Genomic DNA, 27,094 nt, shown 5'->3' on the forward strand with positions numbered 1-27,094 from the left:
TTCCATCCTATTGAGATCCAGGGGAGAAGGACAAGAAGGTATTCCCAATATTGGAAAGGAGCTTTTAGCTCATAGCCATTTGAGGTTTTATTTCCAGCAGGGAAGAAGCATGATAAAGCCTGCAAATCGAAAGATCACTGTGCTTGCTCTGAAGACAGGAGATTAGCAGGGCTTATAGTCAAATATGAGCTGTTTAATTCAGAAGTAGAATTGGTATAATATGGTAATTAACTGACAGGGAGAGGATTAATAATGTCTGGGTTTTCTGGCTTGGAAAACTGAGATGATGGTGGTGATCAGCTCCCACGATAGGAAATTGTGAAGAAAGAAAAGATTTGAAAGGAAGTGAAAAATACTAGACTTAAGAAAAAGACACTTTGCTGATAGAAAGTCTTAACAATTTGGGGAGAAGGCAGTATCCTCCGGAATATACATTTTCACTGTATTGAAGTTACGGAGGAACATTGGATGAAATTATTTACACAATACAAACCCTGTAAGATGATAGCAAATAATAAAATAATGTAATAATAATTGAGTGCTTACAGTGTGTGAGGTACTATTAAAAATTAATTTGTTTAATCTTCTCTACCCTGTAAAGTAGTTACTATTTTCATTCCCATTTTATAGTGAAGTAAACTGAGGCACATCAAGGTTCATTGTATTCCCCAAGGTTACACAGCTAATGAGTGGGCAAAAGCAAGATCATAAACCAAGCAGTCTAGATCCAGTCTTCCCTCTTAGCCTCTAAGTTACACTATGTCACAAATAAGTTCATTCCTTTTGCAATTTTTGGGTTGAGTTTTTCCCATTTCTTCCCAAAGTGACATATTTAGACAAAATTTAAGTTAAGTTAAAATTAGGAATTTGGGAAGTTCTGGCTAATTGAGATTTAGCCACAGTCAGTTCTGGAAGCTCAGTGCCAAAGTACAAGAAGCCATGGAGCTGTGCGTCCACTTTTGAGCCCCTTATAAACTTGTAAAATACTTCTAATCAGAAAAAAATGCAAGGATTGGCAGAATTTCAAATCCCTGCCCTGTTGAGTTTAAAGCCCTGACTGTTGTCAGGTGGGAGCTGCTATTTGTCATATATTCTTTGGCTTTAGACAGAGGCCTTGACGTTAGAGTCCTGGGCCAGGCAGACCTTCATTGAAGAAAAGCAGCGTTAGGCATTTTCCCACTATTAACCCTGCCAACCCTCGCTTGTATCACAGCCAGGTCAGACTTGTACACATGGCTTTGTGAAAGTTGACTTTGAACTTCTAATTAACCATTCTCTTCAAATGTTCAAAGTCTGGTTGTTGTGTTGGTGGCGCCCTAATACTAGAATGTATCAGAATAAAAAAGAAAAGTCTGCCATCTGCTATGAGACACAGTTTTGGGGGGTATTTTTTATTCCAACTGCGTCTGCAATTTTTTTTTCACTCACACATCTACCAAGGGAAAACCAATTAAACCAAGAAAATAAAACTATGCATGCTTCTAGGACTGAAAACTCTTTGTGGATTATGAAAGAGTAGGAATACTTTGTGATCACATACTCAGGTGTTAGCACCCAGATCAATCTCACACATACACATGATACCATGATACCATTCACTGAGACTAGGACGTACTAGAAGAAAGTCAGGTTTGAGGGAAGATCGTTTCCTAAGTATTTACATATATTATCTCTAGTCCTCACATAATTCTGCAATACACAGTTCTTTCCTCATTTTGTTCATGAATAACTTGAGACTTATCAAGTTTAGGTAGCTTGTTCAAGTTCCTTCTACTGGTAAGAAGGAAAACTAAGATTTTAATCCTGGTCTTACTGTGATGTCAAAGCCCACTTTGTTTCGATTAAAGGATCTATATGACCTTCCTGTTCCCACTCCATTTCAAAAATGAGAACAATGTTCTACCAGATTGCCTCTTCCCAAGTATAGACACTATAACAGGACTCTGCTAAAATGTAATAGAGTTTGCATGCATTAAAACAATCTATTGAAATACATTAGTGGGCTTGCTAGAATGTCAGCAAATAGGAGAGGGGAAAAAACATAAGCTGAAATTTAATAAGGAGCAGTAAGCAACACAAAAATGGGGAATATCTCTGAAGCAAATAATGGCATCAGTGCTATAATGCACAAGAAATCTTAAGATCCGCATCAAAGGGATATGAATTTGATAGATACTAAAGAGTTTTGATCTTTGTCCACTCCTGGGTTCAGGAGGAAGCCAGTAAAATTCCTTCCTGGAGGAATGTATTTCTAATTTAGACCCTCAATATATGCAGAGATTAAGCCCAACAAAATATGAACTCAAATACATAAATACATACATATTTAAATAAATGAATAAAATCCAATGCACAATAACACAAGGCACTAGGGAGAGTTGGCAGAAATGAGATATATTAGAATAATAAGACTTATTTGTGGAGTTAAAAATGGAGAAGGAGGATTACTTTCAAATAATGATAATAGATAAAGAGTATTCATTTATTTTCACTTCTTCATGGAAACCCACTAAAACAATAACAGAGTTTTCTTTTTTTCTAAAGACATAAACTCCTATGGATAAAGAATGAAAAAGGAAACCATCTGTTACTGTCTTAGCAGACCTAAAAAAGGTGAATCTTAAAGCAACACTAGCAAGCGTTATCTCTGACGGGATGGATACATCAGGCTATTGTACCCATATGTCATAGAATTGTTGACTTGCACACCTAAGGCACTGTTTTATTGTCTAGTTTTTAATTCCTCATTTCTCCTCATTCATTGCCCTTTCCTGTCTTCACTTCTTTTTCCATTCAGCATTAAAATTATAACATTCATTTGCCCTTCTACGTTTCAATCTACCTTACCAACAATCCTGCCCTTCAACTTTACCCATCTAAGAAAATCTCAACCCTGGATATACAGGACAAACAACTTTCCCTAACACTGGTCTTCCAGAGATTTCCCCAATGCAGGTCTTCAAGAGATTGTCATGATGTATAGCAGTTTGACCTCTTAGAAACTTACAATTACCAAACCTAAATGGGCCCATTACCATTCTACTGCTTTCTACTCTTGACCCAACTTACCTTCTTTCAGTTCCTCTAGTGTGCTATTTTTCCACCTTCCTCAAGACCTTCATATATTTTTTCCTGCTATTCCTCTTTGACTACTTAACTCCTATACATACTTCATATCTCAGCTTAATTGTCCCTTGATCAGATATACACCTTCTGATTATCAGTTAAGATCAGATTTTTTTTTAATTTCATAGAATGCAGTACGTTCATTTTAGTAGCTTATTTCACTGTGAGACATGTACTCATAGAGCATGATCATTTGATTAATGGCAACCTGTAAGATCTATGAAAGTATCCACATTCCTGTATTTCCAATATCAGAATGCTTGGTAGGTAATAAAATCGAAAAGTAAGAGTATATTACTCCATTCACACACTGTTTTAAACAACTGCCCAACACTGGGCAATTTATAAAGAAAAGAGATTTAATTGACTCAGAGTTCCATAGGGCTGGGAAGGCCTCAGGAAACTTGTAATCATGATGGAAGGGAAAGAGACATATCTTACATGGTGGCAGGTGAGAGAGAGCAAATGTGTGAAGGAGGAACTGTCAGAGACATAAAACCATCAGATCTCCTGAGAACTCACTGACTATCATGAGAACAGCATGGGGGACACCACCCTCATGATTCAATCACCTCCCACCAGGTCTCTCCTTCAACCTGTGGGGATTATGAGGATTACAATTCAAGATGAGATTTGGGTGGGGGCACAAAGCCTAACCATATCACTGAGTGATAGAAACAATCCTTTGAATGCAATTTGGTTTCCCATGTAGGGAAATTGAGATAAAATGGACTGGTCATCCTGACAGTAATAGTATAGCCCTCATAAAAGCTATACTTCTTTGGTGAGTTAACAAATTAGCTTTGCAGTTTATTCATAAATAGCTTCTGATTAATGCACTCACAGCTCCGTATCCAAGAGACTGACTCTTTCCCAGAAGATGAGTATTCATTTCATCTATTACCCCTTAATCTGGCTTCATGCTTGCTAAGAAAACTGGAATATCCATGTTTGTCTATGTACAGGGAGATAATTCACTATTCATGTTGGCACTATTATTTCCAGGACATGGGATAGTTTATTACTCAATAAAAGTTAATTTTCAAAAAAAGGTTGGTTTCTAATGCAACATTCAATGCATTTTAGTAATATGTGTCTCAGGGCTTGAATATATCAAAACATTGACAGAGAGGACGCTTGAGATGTATGAAAGGAACAGTTCCTACCAGGTTTTCCTTACGTCTGTTACATGTTGGGAGATTATCTTGGTTTGGCTTCTACCAGAAACAGATCCTGATACACAAGGAGTCATGTACAAGTAATTTATTTGCAGGTGCAGGCATAGGGAGAAAAGGAAGAGGAATAGTGAAGTGTGACGAGAAAAGAAATGAAGTGTCATTTGTTCAACTATCCTTGTAGGTATCTAGAGTTTAATTCCTCTGGGGAAATTCTGAGAGCTGATGTAAAACACATAGCTCAGAGTTATTTCATGTGAGCTGCGAGGGAGCAGAGAAATTTATGCTCCAACTCCAAACAGTTATTGCCTGAATACTGCTCCTGGGGGACAATATGACCCTGACATTTCTGGCCAATCATAGAGCAAAAACTCTCCAGGGGCACTGAAAGCTGTCCTGAAAAGACATGCTGGTTCTGGTGAATGGAAATGAGGTTGTGTGCACTCAATTAGTAAGGGGCGGGACATGTGGATGAGGCCCTGACAGTGGCTGCTACAATGACGGTTCTTTCTTGTCAGCCACAGACAGTCTTGGTTTATGTCTGTTGTCTCAACATCTCATCCAGATACTGTTTGTTTCAGATTTTTCATTCTGAATGAAGTATTATTATCTATAGTTTTATTAAGTGAGTAAGGATGGATGTGTTACACCTGTACTTTGCTTTAGCTTCTATCATTGTTTCCTCTGGTTGTATGAGAAATGCGTGGAAAGTAAATATAATTTTTACTTTGAACACATGGTTAAATCTATACAAAATACAATTGATAACCCATCTCTCTTTTCCTGGTCCTTTTGTGATATAACTAGCGCTTCCCTTTTAAGAAAAGCGTGTAGGGTCCTCACGAATACCAGTTGTAAATGACATTTAAATTTCTGATCTGGGAGTTAAAGGAAGAAATACTCAACATTGCTGCCACTTGGCACACCAGTCATGGTTGCTGTAGCTTGTGACGTGCATGAAGCTACCAAGCTGTTAGAAGATAGAGTTAGGGGTCGGGAGCCGGTGGCTCACGCCTGTAATCCTAGCACTTTGTGAGGCCGTGGCAGGCAGATCATGAGGTCAGGAGTTCAAGACCAGCCTGCCACCATGATGAAACCCTGTCTCTACTAAAAAATACAAAAATTAGCTGGGCATGGTGATGTGCACCTGTAATCGCAGCTACTCACGAGGCTGAGGCAGGAGAATTGCTTGAACCCGGGAGGCAGAGGTTACCATGAATGGAGATTGCACCACCGCGCTCCAGCCTGGGTGACAGAGCGAGACTCCGACTCAAAAAAACAAACAGACCAAAAAAAAGATAGAGTTAGGGGAAAATTTGAGAAATCAGCAGTTAGGTGTGAATAAAGTATGTTCAGGAAATAGAAAGGACCAGCCTTCCATACAGCATTTACACTCTCAATACTTTTGCTACAGAGATTTTGTCAATTATTATACATTGCAACTTCACTATGTGTATATTTGTTTTATGTTTTGTTACATATTTTAATTTCGCTATCAACATTATTAGCTGAAATGAGCTCACAAACAAGTGTGAATGTGAATTTTAAAAATGAGTGCTCTACTTCTGTCTCCCAAGCGAATTGATAATGAATATGTAACTTGAACAAAATGTTTGTCGATATTCATTATTCATCAGGGGGACAGAGTAAAATCACAGACGAACACTGAAGACACAATGCTGTTAAAGAAGCAGCAGTTTCTACTTTAAAATTTAGTTATTATTGACCAAAACAAAACAAAAATAAAAACTAAAACCAAAAGGAACAATTTAAGAAGTGCAGTTGCAGAGGGTGCATTTATGTAACACTCCATGAAGCATTACTTTTTATTTAGATAAAATGACTACGATTAAAAATTTTGTAAATCAATTTTCAGTTTCTGGTATTACTTTTAAAAGTTCAGGAGTGACGTAATAATTCTTCTTTCTTGACTCCATTAGTATCATTTCTTGCTAATGATACAGTGTCCTTAATTGCTTCAAACAGAAAAATCACTAAATTCTAATGATTATTCTATATTTTTCATTCAATTTATGGAATCAAAGCAAAATTTTTGTAAATAAAGTTGCCCCCCCCCCAAAAAAAAAAAAGCAGGGTGTTATTGTGAAAGCTATTTGTTATAAATTTTGGTAAAAGTGTAACACTGATAATAAAATCATTTGGTTTTGCATTGATATACAAATCTAAAGTTCGGTGGAACATCTTATAGAGCAGGAATGTACTTAGCATTACGTATGGAGCACACAATTTTTATAAATAGCTTAAGATTTAATTATGAAGTTAATGACATTTAATAACTCTTAAAAACCTAAACAAGCTTGATATTCTACCAATGAAAATCTAAGCTACTGTCAAAATTTTAAAACTCTTTACATAAACATAGAGTAAATAAAATACACTGTTTTAGATATGTGACAGGTGAGGACAGTTAAAAAACAAAAAAGAAACTTCAGGCCGGGCACAGTGGCTCATGCCTGTAATCCCAGCACTTTCGGAGGCCGAGGCGGGCGGATCACCTGGGGTTGGGAGTGTGAGACCAGCCTGACCAACTTGGAGAAACCCGGTCTCTACTAAAAATACAAAATTAGCCAGGCGTGGTGGCATATGCCCGTAATCCCAGCTTCTCGGGAGGCCGAGGCAAGAGAATCGCTTGAACCCGGGAGGCGGAGGATGCAGAGAGCCGAGATCGCGCCATTGCACTCCAGCCTGAGCAACAAGAGCAAAACTCCACCTAAAAAAGAAAGAAAGAAAAAAGAAACTTCAGCAAGACAGTTCAAAATTTCTCTCTTAGCTTCCCCTTATCAACCATACTTTAGGAATGTTTGAACATCTATAGTAATATTGAACCATTTTGCAAATTAGCTTTCTGAATTTTTATATTTTTCCAATTAGTTAGAAATCAAAAATATTCAATAAGTGGACCTCTGACCCCATGTATGAAAGAGTAACTGCTATCGAAGTTGCCCTTTGATCAGAAACAAGAGAAAACTATATACAGATAGAGATAGAGAGATATATGATACAGAGAGAGAGAAAAAGATATCTAATGTTCCATACATATATGGAACACTGTCTTTCTTTCAGACATTGGCCTGCAGGCAATGAAGAAACAAAATGAGTACCGCAGATTCCAGGGTAACTGACTAGAGGAAGTTTCCAGGCTGCAGCATAGAGAAGAAGAACCCAAATAGGGTCCAGTGGTATTACTGAGTTGAGAATAAAGCCATCAAAGTTACAGAATCACTTTATCCCTGGACGCAGTGGCTCACGCCTGTAATCCCAGCACTTTGGGAGGCCGAGGCGGGCGGATCAGGAGGTCAGGAGATCGAGACCATCCTGGCTAACAGGGTGAAACCCCGTCTCTACTAAACATACAAAAAATTAGCTGGGCGTGGTGGCGGGCGCCTGTAGTCCCAGCTACTCAGGAGGCTGAGCCAGGAGAATGGTGTGAACCCGGGAGGCAGAGCTTGCAGTGAGCCGAGATCTCGCCATTGCACTCCAGCCTGGACGACAGAGCGAGCCTCCCTCTCAAAAAAAAAAAAAAAAAAAAAAAAGAATCACTTTATCCTCTAAATAAAGGAGGATAAAGTGGCTAGAATTTGTGAGGCAAAATATTGGAGATGAAGTTGCCACACACACACACACACGTGCGCGCGTGCACAGAGTGCTGCATGTACAGGAGTTTCCTTAATGTTTCATTTGAATAATTTTCTTTACATATATAAGGTGAAACTCCATAAAGCTGAGGAACTAACCAACGAAAAGTAGCAGGTTAAACAATTCAAGGAGTTCACAGAACTGGGAATAGTTTGCATTAGCCGGAGTGGAGAGATCTTATAATACACAAGGCATCAAACAGAGACATCAAAATGGTATCATCTTAGTTATAGGACTAAATTAGCCTTACATTAAAGGCTACATTTTAGCCATCCTAACACAGTGTACAAGTGAGCCTCAAAAGTACTTTGCTAATTGTGAGTAACTTAACTTCATGCTAAAACAAAGTCCAATACTCTCTCAAATAATATGACAAAATCCAATAGCCAAAAAATGTTCAAATTACCAATGTCAGGCATCCAAATGAAAATTACTAGGCATGCAAAAATGTAGGAAAGGGATCACAAGGCAAATCAATAAACAGAAACTGACTCAGAATGTTAAAAATGTACTTCCAATATGAAGAGGAAAGAGTAAACATAATGAAGAGATAAATTAAAAAGATAAAAACCATGCAAATTGACATTTTAGAGAAAAAAAAATACAGCATTTGATATTTTTAAAAGTCCGAACTTTGGATGGATTAATGGCATATTATGCAGTACAGAAGAAGAAAATTAGTGAAGTTGAAGACATAGCAGCATCTGAATTTGGTAAAATTTTGAAGAGTCAAAAACAACGAAAACTTTTTGACATTTAACTTATTTGTGTTACATAAAATGTTTGCCAAAGTGGAGTATGCTGAAAGGAGATAAAAGACAGTAACCATGAGACATTTGGAATAAAATAGTTACTCATTTCAGTATTTTAAAAATTAAAAGTGAAGATATTCTGCTTTTAGCAGAAATTGTTCTGAGCTTACCAGGTAGCACCATAGTTGTAGAGACTATTTCTCAATGAAAAATATTGCAGTATCTTGAGAAGGATAAATTAAAAATGCTAAAAATTTCAAACTTATTAACCATACAATTAAGTTTTCAAGATTATAGGCAATTCTATCAAAAAGCCTAAAGTATTTAGACCCCGTTGAAACAAAAAATACATTTTTCATAAGAATATCAGTATATTGTATCAGTGAGTGATAGAGCTACAAAACTGATTAACATGTGTGATATTCAGCAGGAATAATAATTCTGCTTGTGTTATTTTCTAAGGTTCAGATAATCAATATAAAGAAGAAGCTGGTAGCTATGCTTTGACAAACATGAATTATGCAATTTTTATTTTTTGAAATGAATTTTAGTTGTAACAATAAATTTTGAATAGGACTATTTTATAGGCCAACTGATAAAAATAATTTCTTGGCCAACAAATATTTCCAAAACATATAATTTTTATTTTTATCCCCATTTAGCCTCAAAATAGCCCCAATTTAGATGAAAAATTACCTGGTCACTCAATTTATGCACCAATTTTCAATGTGTCTTTATTTTTGCATTTAAACAATGTTTTGGATCATGCCAAAGTTCTCTATTTAACTAAAAAATTTATCTTAAAAACGTATTAAGTTTTAGAAAATCCATAGACCTCCTTGTAAGCCCCAGGTGTTAATAATTTCTGTGGTTGAAGGAGATAGCAAGAGGTTAAGATTAGCAGCAGCTTATTTTCCTATGAGAACCCGGTGTGTAAAGATGAAAGGCAACATCATTCAAATGGAAAAAAGGTAAAAAAAAGCAAATTTGAGAAGGAGTGACAGCTCTAAGGCTCCAAAATGATGATGGAATGAGGGATTTCTGGGGTCAGGAAGTTTTCAAAGTAGCAAAGGGGTTTGAATTGAGAAAACTTTTGGTAGATAGGTGACTTGTGTAACACAGATTTTCATGAGTCAACAACTGCCTATTTTTCCAAATTGTCCATTTCCAAGAACAATCTGGTTTATACTGAAGTCTGTTTACAGAGTACCTGCAGGATGCCCTCTCCTGGGTCTTGTGTAACCCAGTGAAACCCCATCTATGGCCCTCACCTCTAACTCTTGACTCTCTACATTCCATTCTATACTTTTTATCTTTATTGTAGATTCATTATTTGTGTTACTTTTGCCAGAAAAAAACAAAAACACAGAATGGTGAAGGCTGGATAGTCCTTAAAAAGTCCTGAAAAGTGGGACAATTTACATAGTGGGAAAAATGAATAAGGATAGAGGATATGACTGAAGAGGGAGTGTGCATGTCCAATTTTAATGGAAAACTCTTCTCTTTTGCCAGTTGCATAGCCATAGGAGAGCAACCCAGTTGTGGCTCATTACTAATATTTGACTTTATGAATAACAGCTCCTGAAAACCCTAGCAGTCAACCTTTGTTCATTTCTCGTATGTGATAATGGTGATATTATTCCTATGCCAATAGATATGACTTTCTTGCACATCTGTTTCTGTAATGGAAGAAAAGACCCTACACATCACATGAAAATATAACCCATAAATTATGGGGTTTGAATTGTCTGCATATTGCACAGACGGTGCTGTACCCACTTCCATTTCAATTATTCTCCTCTATGAATAGAGATAGTCGTCTATAAATGCATTATTAATGTAGAATATTTCCCTTGTTTTTATAGACTTTGCCAGAGGCCAAATATAATTTAAAGTTTTGGGTTATTTCTGAGTCAGGAAACTCATACATGTGGATAAAAGCCAAACTTCTAATATTTAATCTTAACTTAGCAGGATATTTTATACACATTCAATTTTATCCAAAAAGGTCTCAACTATTTTAAATCCTTCCTAGTACTGACATACATATGGGCCAAAATTTAAAGGATCATTGTCAGTCATTCTTCTTAAAGACTGCTATTAACCATGCATACCTTCTGTCCTGATTGTGTTATGGAAGTAAAGATGTTTGTTTGTGGCCTAGACCTCTCCTGTTGAGAAATAAGACCCAATGCTTGGTAATTAAAGCCCTTGCTTATTCTAAATGTGCATATTATGTGCAAAGAATGTTTGCTGACCTCTTCAAGAGTTCATAGGCTCATAGAAAAGAAAAGGTTTTCTGCCATAGCAAATTTATTGTAACATCCAAGATTGATATGTAACATGAGATCAGAAGGACCACGATAAGTGAGAATGAGAGCAGGAATAAAACTTTCATAGCATTAAGCCTACCACTATTATTTATAAATGTGGAAGTTGTGCTCCATTGTGATCCAGTGACTTCTTCCGGATTAGTGTGGGATCTCCAAGCTGGAAATACTTTTAGTTAGCTCAATTTTCGATGAACTTCTCTTTTTTTTTTTTTTTTTTTTTTTTTTTTTGAGATGGAGTCTTGCCCTGTCACCCAGTCTGGAGTGCAGTGGCACAATCTTAGCTCACTGCAAGTTGGGCCTCCCGGGTTCAAAGGATTCTCCTGCCTCAGCCTCCGGAGTAGCCAGGATTATAGGCATGCACCACCACGCCTGGATATTTTTTGTATTTTCAGTAGAGACGGGATTTCACCGTGTTGGCCAGGCTGGTCTCAAATTCCTGACCTCAAGTGATCCACCCCCTTCAGCCTCCCAAAGTGCTGGGATTACAGGCATGAGCCACCACACCCAGCCTTTGATGAGGTTCTTATTCATACTCTTCAATTAGCCGTGTCTCCAGTTTTATGATAGCCTCAATAATTTACCTGGTAAAAGGTACTTGCAATAGTGCAATTTTATGAGAAATTAAGAGTAGAGTGAACTAGTTTCAACATGATTGTCTCACACTGTCCAAATAAACCACAAAGTCTAGAAAATGTGTGTCAACTGAATCACATATCTTAAAGTACAAGGGTAATGTATCATTTCCAAAGATTATTTCTTTAGTAAGTAATCTGCAATATACATAATTCTTTTAAGCTGAGAATTTTATAATTGAGCTTTTTGGTATTTTCATGTCTACTGGAAGGTGGGTGGAGGACAGCAGAGTGCAGAGGAAGAGGCAATTTAAAATTAGTGCTGAGTAAGGATTTTAGCTCCTCTGCCTATTAGCCATGTGATCTTCAAAAACACTACCAGACATTGCCTAAATAGTTGTCACCAGGGTTAAATAAAATTACAAATTATAAATGTAGAAACACCGAGCACAGTCTTGGCACATATTTAGTTCTCAATAATGCTAGTTTGTCTTTCCTCTAGTCTTTATAATTTGACCCATAAGCCACTAGCCACATGTAGTGTGTTTGTCAGAGTCCCCATGTTAGCCACCATAGAAAACAAGAAAAGGATGTCATAAGGCATCACTAGCTTTGTAAATGTCATCTGCTAAAATAACGTTTAATAATAATATTTTATGTAACTCATTACAATATATGTACTTATAGATGGTATATGGAATTTTCAACTTGGGTAATACTACAATAACATTAACTTGAAAGTAAGTTTAATAGTAGCGGACACCCATGTCAACAGGTCTTGTTGACATGGAAAGTGGGTGGTGAGACTGAATTTCCTCCCCTAATGTGACATCTGTTCCTTCGTGAAACAGTAAGATAAAGAAAGGCCAATCATGAAATATTAGAGCTGGATAGTATTTGGCATTGTGATCTAGCGAAACTAGGCCCTGGGAATGGAACTGTCAATTCAGAAATAACTTTCAAAGTTGAGAGATGTAGGGTAGGCCAAAGATACATTTTCAACCTCCCAAATCTCTCTTAGTGTCTTCTCGTTTCGATTCTGTTACTTCGTTTTGGATTAGACATCATGGTTTCCCACTTGGACTTTTGCCAAGATGTGAAATTGGTCTTCCTGCCCCCACTGTTATCACCTTCCAATCCATCACCCATAATCTCTCCAAAGGGATCTTTTAAAAACATAAGCCTGATTCTATACCTTGTCTGCCTAAAATGCCCCCTGATCATCCTCAGGTTGAAGTCCAGGATCATCAGAGTGTCATTCAAGAGTGTGTATTAATTAGCCCTTGCCTACCATAGCAGTCTCATCCATCCCACTCCAGACTCTTCCTATGTTCTAGTCATTCCCAGCAGTTGACGGTCACCCAGTAAAACACAGAGACTCCAGTCTCTGTATATTTGTATGTGCTGTTTCCCCTTCCAGGGATATCCCATGACCTCACTCTGCTGAAGATCAAGAAAAGATTTGGAAAGGCAATCAAGACATCAGGATGATCAACTATTAGGTTTTTAGGAGCACATTTGCACTCTAATTTCTAATGATCTTTCAAATACTCAGTCAAGTGTTATTTTTCCTGGCAAGTCTTCCCATACTTTTCCATCATCTTAAATACGTGTTCTACTTATTCCCGTTCAAGGTCACTGTGGGCATTTTACACACAGAATTGTAATTCTTAACTAACAGGGCTGTCTCAACTGGACCATGCATTTCTTGGTGTTAGGGAAGCATCTTTGTGTCCTCGACATGTGGAAAAGCCTTAGCTTCTACAAAATGTTAGTTTTTGGATTCATTGACAGAATTGTTATTGTTTGGTTCAAATTAAAAACTTTATGATTCTCAGACTTTGGTCAGAATAAGGGATCACAGCAAGTTAAATAGTAATGGACACCTATGTCAGATGGTCTTGTTGGCATGGGGAACAGATGGGGAGACTTAGTATCCTCTCCTAATGTGACATCTGTTCCTCTATGAAACAGTAAGAAATAAAGGCCACTCATAAAATGTTAGAGCTGCAAGAGACTTGAGGCATCTCCCTATTTCAGAGACAGAAATAAAGTCCTGAAAAGCCTCACTAATGTCATTGGGATGGCAGTGCTGGGTCCAGAACCCTGTTATCTTACTGCCCAATCCAGCGTTCATCCATTTGCCTTTTCCACTCAAACAAGGCTTTTTCTTCCAAGAAGTAAGCAAACACTGCATACCAAAGTTCTTGCCAACTAGTCAGGCTGCAGAGATAGTACTAACCTGGTGAGTCATGTCAGCACCTAGGGAGATTCTCCTGCTTTGATTTGGGGCTACTCATCATTTCACAAAAAAATAGCCTAAGGGCTGCAAGAAAGCCATTAACTATGCTCTTTCATATTTATCCCATTGGCATGTTCTCATGAAATGACCTTCTATTTTCCTCTCTTTCTCCTTTCCTGCCTCAAAAAAAGAAACATCAGTATGACATATGGATGGGCTCCAACATCAGCCAGTATATATATTAAAGTTTTAAGTCAATTATTGTTCTAGTACACACCCTGAGGTTGAGAAAGAAAGAACATCCAGGACTAACAAACCTGATTGTTCTGGCAAAGTTGCCATTCAATTCATGCTGGCATTTCTGGGCTTTTCTTTTTCTTTAATATTCCAACTTCATTTTCTTAAAGTTAATGATTCAAGTAGCAATGTTTAACAGTACGATTCCATTCATGTTCTCTGTAAGAGTGCTGCCTCCTGGTCTCTTGTGGGTTTCCCAGGGAGCGTGAAGCCCGGAGTTTGCTTACTTAGTTGCAGAGACAGCTGTCAGTCTGAGGGTGAGTTCAGTAGGCCATGGATTATTCCTCACTTTATTGCTGTGTAAGCAAGAGGGAGACTCAGCTTGGGAATATGGGCACTTCACAACTTGGCATTCTTATATTGAGAAAAAGACCCAATCATAACAGTTAAGAAACCAAATTACAACTGTGTATAACATGGGGAATTTTAACTTAACAACTGCTCTGAGTTGGACGTATGTGAGTATTCTGATTATTACTGCTGTAATTACAATTCTTATGAAGTATGATGGATGTTTTTCCTAGGCAAGTATTGGAAGTCAGTAAGGATGGTGGCTGTGCCAAGGGGCTGTGCTCTGGCTGGTGCTCAGTTGCAAGAGGAGACAGAGACCGTTTCTGCCCTGGCCTCCCTAACAGTGGATGTGGAACAGCCCTTTGCTCAGGAAGACAGCAGGTATGAATCCAACGTGCGGGAATAATCCGGGTCAGTCATATCCAGGCTCATCGTTGATATTTGTGAATCTTCCTCCTGGCTTTCCTTCACCTGTCTCCTCCACTTCCACCACCTGTCCTCTCCAAAGCCACAGATGCCACAGCACATGCTTTAGGCTATCGAGAATTCATTGCTTCATTCTTCATGTGAAATGCAGAGCTGGAGCATGTGGTTGCAGTTCACAGAGAAATAGAGGGGATGAGATAAATGGTGAGAAAAATCACGCCTTATCAGATAATTGAGTGCAGATCGTTATGGAAAGAGCTGCTTGTGGGCTTAACTCCTTTTCCTAGTTATCTCTGTTTTTCCAGATGTTCTTTTTCTTTCTCTAATCATTTTGAAATTGCTGATATAACAAAGAGAAAGAGGAGAGTAGAAGATGGAAATAATGCTAGACCGTTGGATAGCCAAAATACATACACACTCCTTACGTGGCTGTCCTTGAGGTCCAACAACTGGATAAAGGGGGAAGTTGCCTGCAAAGGAGACAAGAGACTGTGTGTAAAGGACTGTGTGAACTTGGGGCTGATTTTATTTCATTTTGGGATAGGACAGAATTGGTTTTAATGTATCTTCTTATGAATATAGATTTCTGGAGAAAAAATACAGTGAAACTAAGATTTGATTCACTTGTTCTCTTTTTAAGGAATGTTTGTCAGTTTGTGCATTTGGTGTTCATCATTCAGTTCTACAGAAAATGGTACATTCAGAATTTCTTTGAAGTCTACCAAAGCCACCATAAATGTACATAAATATTGGTGATTTCTATGGCTGACTTCAAGGTCACATTTCCTCAATTTAAAAATAAATCAGGTGAGGCTTTACTAAAGCTCTGCCAGCTTGCACTCTTAAATTGCTCCTGAGAAGGAAATCAGACTCCCTCCGTCAATAACATCACCATTAATTACGCAGATCCTGCTACTAGTGCACAGGTTGGCAATTTTCCCAAGAATGCACAAATACGAACAGTTCTACTTTCTTGCTTTTACTGGATACTCAGAGTTTAATGGATTTAACATCTTGTTTTGGCCAAGAACAGGAGATAAAATGAATAAGAGATTTTATTTTTATGCAATTATTTTCTCTTACCATAACCACTTAAACAGCAGATTAGCAATAAGGGGGAAAAGTTGTATATTACTCTATTGAAAGATAACTTTATATGAATATCTAGAGCATAAGGGAAAACTTACTTTACATCTTTGATAATAAGAACTAACCCCCTGCCGTTCCCAGCTAAGAACTGAACCAAGTTCATAATCCAAAGGTGTTGCAATTATTCCGAAGGCCAAAAACAGTTAGTTGTCTGTCATCTGAGAGCCATAAAACTGAGGAAACTAACATCTGTTAGTGTTGGATATAAAAGGAGCATAGCTATTCTTTAGAATTTAATATAGAAAAACGAAGCTAAATTCCAACCTGAGTGAAATGAATTGTAAATATTTTTGCCTGTTAAATTGCAGAGCTTAGAATAATTAACAATAATAAGTGATGTTATGAGCCTCAAGTAATATAAAAATCTCAGCAGTTTGGCAGGAATTGGCCCTGTAGGCAAAGTTGTTTATCCTCAGGTAAATAGTGTGCTTGACTCATGGTAGTCTATAGAGATTTAACCTTGGCTTCAGTCCACAGTGATTTTTATTTTAAGCTTCATCTGATGGCAGAGAGAGAATGTGAATGTTCTGATGTGCAGGAAAGCAGAGTCAAAGAGTGTAGCCTGGTTTCATGTTCATTTATCACTTTTAGACAGATTATATCTATTGTGATTGATTTTTCTTGTGGGAAGAAAAATAGTTTTGCTTGAAATATTTCTGATGGCTTTGAACTGAACTCCCTTTTTCAGCAGAGGAAAAGAAGAATTCTTCTAGAACTGGCTCTTGCATTTCAATTGAACCATGCATGAATTTCCTCAGAGACAGACAGACAGACACACACACACACACACACACACACACACACACACACACAGAAAGAGAGAGAGAGAATGCTCTGAAAAGCCACAGAGCATTTACTCTTTTCAGGGGAATACTATCAGTATTGTCCCCCTACTCAAACAGGAAAGATGGCTTTCAAAATGAGATAAAGTGGCGGAAACGTTTCTGGGCTTTTCTTATGAATGCAATATTATAAGCACACAGGAAATTGAAAAATTAGAAAAATCAGAGAGCTAAATGGATGGAAAAGAGTGAAGGCAAGATTCCTTTTATAGGAAATTCTTGCCAGTTATTTTGGAGAACATATTGGTGTTTGGAGTGAGATGACTCATTTCATACTAAGATTTTGGGTAAAGCAGCTCTTTTCCTGGCCAACTCATATCTGACTCATTTACCACTAGTGAATAAGGGATAAAATGCTCCTGGCTAAGAACCATTGTAAGTATTTTTTGTTCGTTTTTCTTGGATGGGGGAGGGGATGACAACACAGTGCAGATAGTCATTTCGTTTTTATAACTACATTGATGGGCCTTGAAGAATAAATTACTAGGAAAAGGCTGATATGTGGGAATTCCTTTTGGGGATAGTTAATTTTCAAACATAACACATACTTTTCTGGGGGCAAAAGACTTGATCAAAAAAATGATTGATGGGTCAACAAAACAAAACAACACAAAAAATCTTGAAGGGATCCAAGTTATATAGTCAAAGAAAATTAAATATATACGTCTGGTCACATATAGCATACTACTTAGAAGCAAGAAGTTTTCTTATTGTTTGCTAGGAATGTGTACCTTTAAACAATTGTAGTTTGCATTTGTTGACTATCTGTTTCAAAATGCTTCTACTTTGGAAAGGTCAGTACAGTACTCAGGTTTACTCTTGGATATCAGTTCAGGCTCTGCTGAAGATCAAGAAAAGATTTGGAAAGGCAATCAAGACTTCAAGATGATCAACTGTTAGGTTTTTAGGAGCACATTTGCACTCTAGAATGCCTAACTTGGTGACTTTGTGTGTGTGTGTTTTTTTTTTAACTAACACAAAAACCAAACAAACTTGAAAGTTAGATTTGCAGTTGTCATTTTGACCTGTAAATCGTGTTACATTTTTTTTTAACAAAATCCAGAATAGTTGTCTCTTTAATCATTTAACTTTCAACTTTTGGCAACCTTTCTCATGAACGTGATGGTTTCATGTCATTAGATAATACAGAAACATGAGAAAACATATTATTCAAAGTCTGACCACTTTGTTTTTTGGGTAACTATCTAGTTTGTGAATATAACAGTGTAATAATCAGCTAAATCCAAGTATCATCTACCTGAGCTTTGAATGGCTTATCAATAGTTCCAATGACATCAAAAACCCCATTTTCCTGAATCTTAAGATTTATATAGAAATATAGACCATTATTAAATATACATTCATATCTAATGTACTTAGAAACATGATTTTCCTCAAATAGCCCATCCCAATGGGATTGTGTCTCCAAAGGCTTCTAGAAGCTAAATGTTGCACAAATTATTCACCCCTCTTATTTTATTCTATGATACCATTATGTTAAGTACTTGTTTAGGTAACTAAGAACTTATTTAGACAACTTAGATAACTAAGTATGTGCGTTAGGCTGTTCTTGCATTGCTATTATATAAATAGCTGCGAATGGGTAATTTATAAAGAAAAGAGATTTAATTAGCTCACAGTTCCACAGGACTTTCAGGAAGCAAGTTCCTGGCATCTGCTTGGCTTCTCCAGAGGCCTCAGGAAGCTTAAAATCATGGAGGAAGGTGATTGGGGAGCGGGTACATCACATGGCAAAAGCAGAAGCAAACAAGAGAGAGAGTGGAGGGGAAGGTGCCACACACTTTTAAACAGCCAGATCCCATGTGAGCTCAGAGCAAGAGCTTACTTATCACCATGGAGATGGTGCAAGCCATTCATGAGGGATCTGCCTCCATGATCCAAACACCTCTCATGAGGCCCCACCTCCCACACTGGGGATTATATTTCAAAATGAGATTTGGGCAGGAACATTTATCCAAACTATATTAGCAGGCAAATTTTTCAATATAAATTTTGTTTTTAATTTTCATCCAGTGTCAACAAAGCCTTAGCTGAAAATTGAGGTGAGATTTGGAAGCTCCTGGTAAAAAGAAAAATCTGCCCCCTCTTCATTTATCTTTCCTCCTCTTCCCAGGGCCATCATTTTATCTCTATTTTCCCAACGTGTCTAACATGTGGTCTTGAGGTGCATGTGAAGTCTGACTTAGAACATTAGGGATGTTCTAATCCTCCAATGCCCAGTTATGTATTTTGGGGTTCAGTTCTGTATTATTTACAAAACAGTGTTTACTTTGAAAAAAGAAACAAAATTGAATAGAAACGTATATAAAATAAGATGCATAATTTAGCTTCCCATCTCATCTTTTTCTTCACTCCTTCAATCCTATCCTCTTACCACTACAGAGGAAGAGTAGAGCTTGCCTCTAGAGTCTCCACACTTCACAGTTGTTTGCTCAAGGGCAAGTTACTTAATCTCTCTGAGTTTAATTTTCCTCATCTTTAAAATGAGAGAAAAATTTCATAGAGTTGTGAGAATCAAATGAAACAACACATCACAAGAACTTAAAACAATACCTGGCATGTAGTAAATACTTGATAAAACTTGATAAAGGTTTATTATTTTTATTATTTTTCTATCACTTTTCTTCTTCCTCGATTTGTTACACTTTTTCTTGTTCTTCTTGTTCTTGTTCTTCTTGTTCTTCTTCCTTCTTCTTCCTTCTTCCTCTTCTTCTTCCTTCTTCTTCTTCTTCTTCCTTCTTCTTCTTCCTTCTTCTTCTTCTTCTTCCTCTTCTTCTTCTTCCTTCTTCCTTCTTCCTTCTCCTCCGTCTCCTTCTTCTTCTTTTTTTTTTGAGATGGAGTCTCACTCTGTCACCCAGGCTAGAATGCAGTGGTGTGATCTCAGCTCACTGCAACCTCCACCTCCCGGGTTCAAGCAATTCTCTTGCCTCAGCCTCTCGAGTATCTGGGACTACAGGCACGTGCCACCATGGCCAGCTAATTTTTTTTGTATTTTTAGTAGAGATGGGGTTTTACCGTGTTAGTCAGATGGTCTCAATCTCCTGACCTCATGATCAGCCCACTTCTGCCTCCCAAAGTGCTGGAATTACAGGTGTGAGCCACCGTGCCCGGCCTGTTTCTTCTTTTAATATATTGGCCATCATTCAGTAATCTATAATATAAGAATATAGAGCCTATACTTGGGCATCTATACCTTTAGCTGTTCATAGGTTAAATCAATCAGGACTATCCTCCAACCAGCAGAATGAGGAAGAAGAACATGTGAAAATATCAAGTTCATTCACTCTTTCAACACTTTCTGATTATTTCTAGGAGCCAGATAAAGTGTTAGGGGCCAGGATCACAAAGCTGCCTTGTACTCCTCAAAACGTTCACATACCTTTTTACAGCAGCAGTAGAATACTGCAAATTTAATGGCTTAAAACACACAAAGTTTGTCAGTCAGAAATCTAACTAACCCAGGTCTCACTGAGCTAAAAGCAATGTATTGGCAAGGCTGCCTTCATTTGTGGAGGCTCTGGGGAAAAATTGGTTTCCTTGCCTTTTCCATCTTCTGGAGGTTGCCTGCATTCCTTGGCTCATGACCCCTTCTTCCATCTTTAAAGCCAGCAACTTCACATCTATCTGACCTTTCTTCAGTCATCATATCTCTCTCTGCCTTCAGCTGAGAAAGGGTTTCTGCTATTAAGGGCTCATATAATTAGATTAGACTCACCAGGATAATTTAGGATTAATTTCTCCACCTTATCACCCCTAACTTTAATCACAACTACAAAATCACTTTTGCCATGTAAGGTAACATATTCACACGTTCCAAGGATTAGGAAGTGGATAGCTTTGGGGACTATTATTCTTCCTACCACAGAAACAAACATGAACAATCAACTATAATAAATGACAAGTCTTTGATAAGATTGAAATAGGGTCCTGCAAAATGAAAAAAAAAGCAAAACAAAACGCCTTATAGGCCAAGGACTGGGGAGCAAATCACAGAACCAGGGAGAAGAGAATCAGGGTGGAAGAATGTGTAGATTTCACACAGTAAATAGGACAAAAGGCATTCAAGATGTCTTTACTTTGACAAGACAATTTAAGAAGCCCTTACTTTACAAGACAATAACTTGAGACAATATATATATTTTTAACTTCTACTGCTGACACTCAGTCCAAAGTATCATCATCTCTCATCCAAACTTTTACAGTAGTTTCCTTACTGGTTTTCATATCCAGTTTTACCTTCTTTCTAATCCATTTTATACACCTCAATCAAAAACAAAACAAAACAACTGGAAAGCATATCTGGTCATGCCTCTGCTTGAAACCCTTCAATACTTTTCCATTTCCATTAACATAAAGATCATCATCTTCAATAGGCTCCATAAGGTCTGTATTAGTAGACTCATACCTATAATTCCTGCCTTACTTCTAACATTCTTCCTCTTTCTTTTCTGATGTGGTTTCCAACAATGACCTTAATTAATTTTTAATGGAGGTATATCTTACATATAATAACATGCACACGTTCTAAGATTTTTACCAATGCCACCCTCATATAAACACCACCCAGAACAAGTTCAAGAACATTTTTATTACCTCCAAAAAGTTTGCTTCTGCCACTTCCCAGTCGGTGCCACTCCCTCCAGAGGTAACTACCGTTTTACTTTTAACACCGTCAATTATGTTTGCCTGCTCTTGAATTTCATTTAAATGGAATCATGCGTGTGTACTGTATTTCTTAATCTGACTTATTTCACCTCATTAAGCATGTTTTTGAGATCTATTTATGCCATTGACAATCCGGAGTTTCTTCATTTTTATTATTGTACATTACTCCAGTGTATTAATACACCCTAATTTGTTTATCCGTATACCTACGGATGGATGTTTGGCTTGCTTACACTTTGAGGGCTATTATGAATAAAGCTGATCAATTAATTATTATTGTGGTTTAAAAACACATGTAAAACTTACCGTCTTAACCATGTTAAGTGTTCAGTACAGCAGTGTTTATATGTGTATTGTTGTGCAACAGGTTTCTGGAACTTGATCTTGCAAAATGGAAACCTTGTAGCCATTGACCAGCTCCTTCATCTTCCCGCCTCATCCTTCCAGCCCCTATCAACCATCATTCTGCTTTCTGTTTCAGAGTTTGACTACTTTAGATACTTCATATAATTGGAACCATGCAACTTTTGTCTTTTTCTACTGGCTTACTTCACTTAGTGTAATGTCCTTAAGGTTTCTCCATGTGGTAACATATGAAAACATTTCCTTCTTTTTTAAGGCTGAATAATATTCCATTGCATGTATATGCCACATTTTCTTTATCCACTCACCCACTGATAGATTCTTGGATTGCTTCCACCTCTTGACTATTGTGAATGAATGCTGCTGTGAACATGGATGTGCAAATAACTCTTTAAGTTCCTATTTTCAGTTTTTTTGGATGATATATACCCAGAAGTGATATTTCTGGATCATATGGAAATTTTATTTTTAATTTCTTGAGGAATCTAAATCTCTATGAAATTTTCATACAAGTTTTCTTTTTGTGGTCACAGCACTCAGTTTTTTTGGATAGATAGCTAAGATAGCTAAAATTAGAATTGCTGGGTTGTAGGGAAGTCATATGTTTTACTTCATAAAAATCTTCCAAACTGTTTTCCAAAGTGGCTGTACCATTTTTCATTCCCACTAGCAATGAATGACAGTTCCAATTGCATCATAGCCTCACCTACACTTGGTAAAATCAGTCTTTATAATTTTAGCCTTTTATTGTGGGTGTGGAGTGATATTTCATTGTGGATTCAGTTTTCCTCCAAAAAGCCATACTCATGTCCACATCAGGGCTTCCTTGGCACATGCCTTCTCTTCTGTTTGGAATGTTTATCCTGTCCTCTACCTTCTTCCACCAACCCTTTATTGGCCTTCCCATTCTTTTCATCATATCCTGTAGATTTCAGATCAAATATCACTTCTTCTTCTTGAAAAATATTCACCGACCACTAACCCCCAAATTAGATCAGGTCCTCCATGCTTTCTCATGTCTCCCTTACACTTCTGCATTACTCCACAGGACATAAGTGAAAATTAGATACATTTGTGTGCTTATTTGATTCCTTTATGTTTTCTCCTGTAAGCTCCTTATGAATAGAATCTGCATCCCTTTGGCTTAGCATTATTTTTTTAATAGCAGTATATTACCTGACACAAATTAGGTACTCAAGATCCATTTTGGTAGTAAAAGACGAGCAAAAGTTCAGAGAGTATATGAGTGCAAACTTTGGGAAAGGAAAGGACTCTCGGGGCAGTTGGGGGTGCCACAGAGTTGAGTAAGCTGGCTGGGTAGAAAGGGATCATGGCACAAAATTTAATGGAAGGGAATTAAAATATTTATTACCATTCGAATTTGAGTTAATCCTGTTTTCAGTATTAAGCTTTCACAGAGAGAGAGAGAGATAACTTAGGTCTATACATTGAACAGAGAGTGTCATGGAGGAGGGGCCAGCATACTACTAAAGGGACAGCCAAGAAACCCTTATGGTAATTGTGGTAAAGAAGCCAATTAATCATGGTAGAGGAAATGGAGAGGAAGAAAACCTAGTGTAGATAAATTGTTGAGAAATAGTGAGTAGTTGGCAATTCATGAAATATCAATGAAATGGGAGAGAAAGAAGTCCAAATTAATAGTCTGGATGATAATGCCATTAGCTGAGAGAGAAAAAAGGAAGACGTTGGTTGAAGGTGACTATGTATTGTAGAATTAAGAGGCGAACATGGACAAAAGGAAGCAATAAGGCAAACTAGGGTTGAGTAATGGTACTGTTAGAAAATCTATGTCAATTCCCCACAAAAACTTGCTGCCAGTTGTATTGTTATGGTAGGTGTGAGTTTGTGTGTGTGTGTATACATATGTTTGCTTTTGTTGGGCTTTTATTTCTGCACAGCCTTGTGATATGAGGGAATATATTCCCAATCACACATTTAGGTGTAGAATTGTTACACAGGAAGTCTGTACTGAGAATATTTCTGGATCTTTATTTTTTTTTAATTCTTTTTCTATTTATTTATTATTATTATACTTTAAGTTTTAGGGTACATGTGCACAATGTGCAGGTTAGTTACATATGTATACATGTGCCATGCTGGTGCGCTGCACCCACTAATTCGTCATCTAGCATTAGGTATATCTCCCAATGCTATCCCTACCCCCCCAACCCCACAACAGACCCCAGAGTGCGATGTTCCCCTTCCTGTGTCCATGTGTTCTCATTGTTCAATTCCCACCTATGAGTGAGAATATGCGGTGTTTGGTTTTTTGTTCTTGCGATAGTTTACTGAGAATGATGTTTTCCAATTTCATCCATGTCCATACAAAGGACATGAACTCATCATTTTTTATGGCTGCATGGTATTCCATGGTGCATATGTGCCACATTTTCTTAATCCAGTCTATCATTGTTGGACATTTGGGTTGGTTCCAAGTCTTTCCTATTGTGAATAGTGCCGCAATAAACGTACGTGTGCGTGTGTCTTTAGAGCAGCATGATTTATAGTCCTTTGGGTATATACCCAGTAATGGGATGGCTGGGTCAAATGGTATTTCTAGTTCTAGATCCCTGAGGAATCGCCACACTGACTTCCACAATGGTTGAACTAGTTTACAGTCCCACCAACAGTGTAAAAGTGTTCCTATTTCTCCACATCCTCTCCAGCACCTGTTGTTTCCTGACTTTTTAGTGATCACCATTCTAACTGGTGTGAGATGGTATCTCATTGTGGTTTTGATTTGCATTTCTCTGATGGCCAGTGATGGTGAGCATTTTTTCATGTGTTTTTTGGCTGCATAAATGTCTTCTTTTGAGAAGTGTCTGTTCATGTCCTTCGCCCACTTTTTGATGGGGTTGTTTGTTTTTTTCTTGTAAATTTGTTTGAGTTCATTGTAGATTCTGGATATTAGCCCTTTGTCAGATGAGTAGGTTGTGAAAATTTTCTCCCATTTTGTAGGTTGCCTGTTCACTCTGATGGTAGTTTCTTTTGCTGTGCAGAAGCTCTTTAGTTTAATTAGATCCCATTTGTCAATTTTGGCTTTTGTTGCCATTGCTTTTGGTGTTTTAGACATGAAGTCCTTGCCCATGCCTATGTCCTGAATGGTAATGCCTAGGTTTTCTTCTAGGGTTTTTATGGTTTTAGGTCTAACGTTTAAGTCTTTAATCCATCTTGAATTGATTTTTGTATAAGGTGTAAGGAAGGGATCCAGTTTCAGCTTTCTACATATGGCTAGCCAGTTTTCCCAGCACCATTTATTAAATAGGGAATCCTTTCCCCATTGCTTGTTTTTCTCAGGTTTGTCAAAGATCAGATAGTTGTAGATATGTGGCATTATTTCTGAGGGCTCTGTTCTGTTCCATTGATCTATATCTCTGTTTTGGTACCAGTACCATGCTGTTTTGGTTACTGTAGCCTTGTAGTATAGTTTGAAGTCAGGTAGTGTGATGCCTCCAGCTTTGTTCTTTTGGCTTAGGATTGACTTGGCAATGCGGGCTCTTTTTTGGTTCCATATGAACTTTAAAGTATTTTTTTCCAATTCTGTGAAGAAAGTCATTGGTAGCTTGATGGGGATGGCATTGAATCTGTAAATTACCTTGGGCAGTATGGCCATTTTCAGAAGATTGATTCTTCCTACCCATGAGCATGGAATATTCTCCCATTTGTTTGTATCCTCTTTTATTTCCTTGAGCAGTGGTTTGTAGTTCTCCTTGAAGAGGTCCTTCACATCCCTTGTAAGTTGGATTCCTAGGTATTTTATTCTCTTTGAAGCAACTGTGAATGGGAGTTCACTCATGATTTGGCTGTTTGTCTGTTGTTGGTGTATAAGAATGCTTGTGATTTTTGTACATTGATTTTGTATCCTGAGACTTTGCTGAAGTTGCTTATCAGCTTAAGGAGATTTTGGGCTGAGAGAATGGGGTTTTCTAGATATACAATCATGTCATCTGCAAACAGGGACAATTTGACTTCCTCTTTTCCTAATTGAATACCCTTTATTTCCTTCTCCTGCCTAATTGCCCTGGCCAGAACTTCCAACACTATGTTGAAGAGGAGTGGTGAGAGAGGGCATCCCTGGCTTGTGCCAGTGTTCAAAGGGAATGCTTCCAGTTTTTGCCCATTCAGTATGATATTGGCTGTGGGTTTGTCATAGATAGCTCTTATTAATTTGGAATACGTCCCATCAATACCTAATTTATTGGGAGTTTTTAGCATGAAGGTTGTTGAATTTTGTCAGAGGCCTTTTCTGCATCTATTGAGATTATCATGTGGCTTTTGTCTTTGGTTCTGTTTATATGCTGGATTACATTTATTGATTTGCATATATTGAACCAGCCTTGCATCCCAGGAATGAAGCCCACTTGATCATGGTGGATAAGCTTTTTGATGTGCTGCTGGATTTGGTTTGCCAGTATTTTATTGAGGATTTTTGCATCAATGTTCATCAAGGCTATTGGTCTAAAATTCTCTTTTTTGGTTGTGTCTCTGCCAGGCTTTGGTATCAGGATGATGCTGGCCTCATAAAATGAGTTAGGGAGGATTCCCTCTTTTTCTATTGATTGGCATAGTTTCAGAAGGAATGGTACCAGTTCCTCCTTGTACCTCTGGTAGAATTCGGCTGTGAATCCATCTGGTCCTGGACTCTTTTTGGTTGGTAAGCTATTGATTATTGCCACAATTTCAGCTCCTGTTATTGGTCTATTCAGAGATTCAACTTCTTCCTGGTTTAGTCTTGGGAGAGTGTATGTGTCCAGGAATTTATCCATTTCTTCTAGATTTTCTAGTTTATTGGCGTAGAGGTGTTTGTAGTATTCTCTGATGGTAGTTTGTATTTCTGTGGGATCGGTGGTGATATCCTCTTTATCATTTTTTATCGCATCTATTTGATTCTTCTCCCTTTTCTTCTTTATTAGTCTTGCTAGCGGTCTAGCAATTTTGTTGATCCTTTCAAAAAACCAGCTCCTGGATTCATTAATTTTTTGAAGGGTTTTTTGTGTCTCTATTCAGTTCTGCTCTGATTTTAGTTATTTCTTGCCTTCTGCTAGCTTTTGAATGTGTTTGCTCTTGCTTTTCTAGTTCTTTTAATTGTGATGTTAGGGTGTCAATTTTGGATCTTTCCTGCTTTCTCTTGTGGGCATTTAGTGCTGTAAATTTTCCTCTAC

At 37.6% G+C, this 27,094-nt stretch overlaps 1 protein-coding gene across 5 annotated transcripts in view; it reads left to right on the forward strand.

Annotated features, from left to right (window-relative positions):
• Positions 1 to 27,094, forward strand: part of HDAC9 (histone deacetylase 9) — a 915,592-nt gene that overhangs the window by 874,303 nt on the left and 14,195 nt on the right. For all 5 annotated transcript variants that reach the window (NM_001321868.2, NM_178425.4, NM_001321877.2 and 2 more), the window contains one exon: positions 14,679 to 14,826. In NM_001321868.2, coding sequence (NP_001308797.1) covers positions 14,679 to 14,826 — 148 coding nt within the window. The remainder of the gene's footprint in view (positions 1 to 14,678; positions 14,827 to 27,094) is intronic.

Source organism: Homo sapiens, chromosome 7, assembly GCF_000001405.40.
Source record: "Homo sapiens chromosome 7, GRCh38.p14 Primary Assembly".
Classification (NCBI taxonomy): domain Eukaryota; kingdom Metazoa; phylum Chordata; class Mammalia; order Primates; family Hominidae; genus Homo; species Homo sapiens.